Source organism: Homo sapiens, chromosome 16 (genome assembly GCF_000001405.40).
Source record: "Homo sapiens chromosome 16, GRCh38.p14 Primary Assembly".
Lineage (NCBI taxonomy): Eukaryota > Metazoa > Chordata > Mammalia > Primates > Hominidae > Homo > Homo sapiens.
The window spans coordinates 57507578-57512180 of NC_000016.10; the positions used below are offsets into that span (position 1 = coordinate 57507578).

Here is a 4603-nt window from a genome sequence, read left to right on the forward strand (position 1 = left end):
TCTGAGCACTCTGGAGACCACCCCCAGTGCAGCTGGGTCTGTGGGGCTTGAGGAAGACTGGGAGGCTTTCCAGGGGGGCCCTTCTCCATTGGGAGGCGCCTGCCTGGGGCCTGGGAGGCAGATGGCATCTTGCAACCCTGCAATTAGTAAAGTAGGCAGGGGAGCCGGTGGGGGTGGGGGTGGGAGGCGGCCGGCTGAGAGCTGCAGCTGGCTTCTGGATGCTGCCGCTGCCTCCAGCCCCGCTCCGCTGGCCCAGAAGGGCTGCCTGGAGTGGCTGGAGGGCCCCAGGAAGACAAGGCAGTGGGGGCTTGGGAGGAAATACAGGGCAGCAGGGAGAGTCAGAGAGGGAATAGAATGGCACAGTCAATGTCAGTGAAGGCGGGTTTGGACAGCCCATTTGTTCCTGTCCCCATTTGACAGATAGGGAAACCAAAGCTGGGAGAGAGGCAGGAGCTCACTGGAAGACACATAGCCAATCAGAGAGCAGGCTGGGGCCAGAAGCCAGGTTTGTCTGGAGGGCTGGAGTGCAGAGGGCTCACTGCTGGACATGGATTTCTAGGCAGGAACCCCTAGGGGCTGCCTGGTAGAGTCAGGCTGGACAAAATGGCCTTGGCTGGAGAGGAAGGACAGGCCCAGGGCCCCCAGCCCTCCCACTATGGGAGAGGAGGGGCTGGGTGGTGGGGTAGTGTCTGGCTCAGCTGGTTCTCCAGCCCGTCTGGGCACTCCAGCCTGTGAGGAGAGGCACTGACACTGCTGCCCCTGGGCTGCTGTGGCTTTCGGTACCTGGGCTTGGGGGACTTCCACGTCCCCCTCCAGGAGGAAGACTTAGCTGGGCAGCAGCAAGACCCTCCTAGGACTGGCCTGGCAGTTATTGCAGTGGAGCTGGGGGTGGGGTGGGGTTCTGGTTTCAGCTTCTACCATCCCACCCATCCGTCCTTCCTCCACCCATCCTTCCACGCATCCATCAAGCTTTCCCTCCTGCCTCCCCTCTAACACTTAAAGATGCCCACTAGGCCCAAGGCATGTGCTGGTTGCTAGAGGATTCTCTGTCCTCCAGGAGCAGCCAGGGGGGCAGAAGCAGCAGACACATAAACAGCCCCTCTAACACGCTAAGAATGAGCCCAGTAGACCGAGTTCTGAAGGGCTGGTGGGACTTTGATGAGTGCAGGGCAGTACTCGGGGCAGTAAGGAGGTCGGCATGGCTGGAGCTGCAGCGTCTGCAGAGTAGAGTGTGGTGGTGAGGCAGAGGGCAGGGGCCACATGGGGCCTTGCTTTGGAGGGTGGGGTGGCGACCCATGATCAGGAGCGTGGGCCAGGTGCGGTGGCTCATGTCTGTAATCCCAGCACTTTGAGAGGCCAAGGCAGGTGGATCACTTGAGGTCAGGAGTTTGAGACCAGCCTGGCCAACATGGTGAAACCCCGTTTCTACTAAAAACAAACAAACAACAACAACAACAACAAAAAACAGCTGGGCGTGGTGGCACATGCTTGTAATCCCAGCTACAGGGAAGGCTGAGGCAGGAGAATCTCTTGAACCTGGGAGACAGAGGCTGCAGTGAGCCGGGATTGTGCCCCTGCACTCCAGCCTGGGTGACACAGACACACATTGTCTCAAAAATAATAATAATAAATAAAAACAATAAAGGAGTGTGGGCTCTGGCCGGGATCCCAGTTTCATGTCTAGTCAGCTGTGTGGCCTTGGAACAATCACTCCATCTCTCTGAGCCCCTGGATCCTCAGCATAAAATAGGATGATGATGGTGACACCTACCGCGTGTGGCTGTTGGGAATGATCAGTGAGACGATGCCTGTGAGGCACAGTGGGGTGGGAGGGGCGCTCAACACATTCTAGCTGTTCTTGGCAGTCACCCCTGGAGTGACCAGGAGCCTGCAGGGGATCAGAGCCCGCGAGTGACATGTGCTCTTGGCCTGGCTACATCTCATGCTGGCGGGCTCAGCACCTCCCCTCTCTCTGTTTCCTTACTTGCTCAAAGAGAAACTGGACTAAGCCCGAGGAAAAATCTTCAAATGCCTCCAAGAGTGGGGCAGTAATTTAAATGAGTGAGGGCAGTGCAGGGGAAGGCTGCAGGGAGTGGTGGGGACTGCGGTGCCCAGGGTGCCTGTGTCCCACCCCAGGGAGGAGCCTCCTCTCAGCCCAGCAGCTGTAGCCATGTGGGAGTGAGTCCACGCTGGTCAGAGATGCTAACTTCTCAAGAGAGGGAACCCCATGGCTTTGTGGGAAAACCTCCCATTACTAATGTTAGCAACGCATTAAATACTTTTTAAAGTATCAAATGAGGCAAAGCTAATGCTTCTTTGGGCAGTGGCCACCATGAACACTAGGTGACTTTCTCTGCAGGTAAGCTGGGGAGCCACAGAAGGGCTGTGAGCAGAAGCAGCACACGTTCCAGGCTGGGACCATCTCCAAGCCCTATCTGCAACCGTCCCTCCCCTCCCGAGGCCTGTTTTCTTGTGTACCATGGAGGTGGGAAGCCAGACCCTCTCCTTGCTGACATTCTTAGGAGCAGTCTGCCTGGGAGATAGGGGCTGTAATGAGGCCCCTGCTCAGTGCTATCTCACAGGTGGTGCCAGGGAGTCTGGGGGAGCCTGGCCACGCCAGACAGGGTCTGCTCTGTGTCTGGGAATGGCAGGTCTGGCAGGTCCAGCCGGAGGTGGCTCTTAGAGCTAGTGTCAGTGAGGGCCTGGCTCCTGCCTCCTAGCTCTTCAGGGTCAAAGGGCAGCACTTTCAGCCTTTTCTGGGACCAACTTCCTATTTGGGAGAGAAAGCAGACAGATCCCTGGCAGGAAATGACCTTCTTCTCAAAGCCCTGTTTTCCACTGGCGCTGACTTTCCACTGGCCACAAAGCAGGAGTCCCCGTGGTTGTCTCACTCAGCCTCCCCATCCCCCTCAGAGCCCAGGGGCTTTGCCATGGCAGCAAACCCACCTCGCTAACATCATTAATTTAGTGTTGGCAACAGAAAATTTTTCAGTGCCCTTATTTATTAGCGCCCAGCTGGGCTCCTGGGTCTGCCTCTCTCCTCTTCACAATCCCCAGAGCTCCTGGTGACCCTGAGACCCAGCACCAGGTGTCCCTGGTGTCCCTGGGACAGCTCTGAGCATTGTGGCCTCATGGCTCCCTCTTAACTAGGCCACACCGAGAGAAAATCATTTAGTGCAGCTCTCCCACCCCTAGCAGGCAGCCCCTTTGTCAACCGAATTTAACTGCTCTTTGGGGCCAGGCTGGAGCCCTAGCCTCTCCTTGCACAGCCCTAAACACAGGGAGCTCACCACCTTCTTTATGCTAGAATAATCCTGGCAACGCTTCCTTCTGCAGAAAGCAGGCCCGGGTACTGAGAATTTACCTAAAGGGTCCCATCAAAAGAGCAGATGCCCCGAAAGCCACTTTGACTGTGAAAGATCAAAAGTGTATGCTACCGTGTTTCTTTTTTTTTTGGAGACAGAGTCTTGCTCTGTCGCCCAGGCTGGAGTGCAGTGGTGCAATCTCGGCTCACTGCAAACTCCACCTCCCGAGTTCAAGCGATTCTTCTGCCTCAGCCTCCCGAGTAGCTGGGATTACAGGCGCCTGCCACCAGGCCCGGCTAATTTTTGTATTTTTAGTTGGGACAGGGTTTCACCATGTTGGCCAGGCTGGTCTTGAACTCCCGACCTCAGGTGATCTGCCTGCCTCAGCCTCCCAAAGTGCTAGGATTACAGGCATGAGCCACCATGCCCAGCCTGCTACCATGTTTCTAATCACTGTTACCATCAGATTTAACATAAATCTGCTGGTTATAGAAGGTATAGAAATTAAATACCAAAAATAAAACTGCCTGTAATTTCGCTATGTAGGGCAGGGCTGGGGGGAAAAAAAGGGTTTGTAATTTATTGTGTCCACATCTACCTCTAGGTAAACTTCCATCAATACTTGAACTTCATCCCCTGCGCCCACCTGGCAAATCCCTCCTCTCCAGGGAAAACTTTTAGGTATTTAATATAACTAACCTTTACCGAGCTCTGGGTTAACCTATCTAATTCTTGTGACAGCTCTGAGACATCTTATAAATGAAGAAACTGAGGCTCAGAGAGGGCAAGTAACTTCCCAGAGGTTGCACAGCTAATAAGGGGCAGAGACATGAATCCATCGGGTGCCAGAACTGAAGTCTCTAGAGTAGGCATGCACTGTACTTTCTTCCTCCTCGCCACAGGAGTGGATACCAGACTGCTCAGCAGCTCAGATGTTTATTCATTCATTCTTTGTGGGGTTTTTTTTGAGACCGAGTCTTGCTCTGTTGCCCAGGCTGGAGTGCAATGGTGTGATCTCGGCTCACTGCAACTCCCACCTCCTGGCTTCAAGCGATTCTCCTGCCTCAGCCTCCTGAGTAGCTGAAATCACAGGCAATCAACACCATACCCGGCTCATTTTTGTGTTTTTTTTTTTTTTTTTTCATTTTTGTGTTTTTAGTAAAGACGGGATTTGGCCATGTTGCCCAGGCTGGTCTTGAACTCCTGGGCTCAAGCAATCTACCTGCGTTGGACTCCCAAAGTGCTGGGATTACAGGTGTGAGCCACCGTGGCTGGCCTCATTCATTCATTCTTTCTTC

At 54.5% G+C, this 4603-nt stretch overlaps 2 annotated features.

Annotated features, from left to right (window-relative positions):
• Positions 465–1457: an enhancer, noted in NCBI's record as "H3K4me1 hESC enhancer chr16:57541954-57542946 (GRCh37/hg19 assembly coordinates)". NCBI's record gives its function as "activates a minimal SCP1, AML or CMV promoter by ChIP-STARR-seq in naive H9 embryonic stem cells {active_cell/tissue: H9 hESC(naive)}" and the evidence as "EXISTENCE:reporter gene assay evidence [ECO:0000049][PMID:30033119]".
• Positions 2153–2653: an enhancer, noted in NCBI's record as "H3K4me1 hESC enhancer chr16:57543642-57544142 (GRCh37/hg19 assembly coordinates)". NCBI's record gives its function as "activates a minimal SCP1, AML or CMV promoter by ChIP-STARR-seq in primed H9 embryonic stem cells {active_cell/tissue: H9 hESC(primed)}" and the evidence as "EXISTENCE:reporter gene assay evidence [ECO:0000049][PMID:30033119]".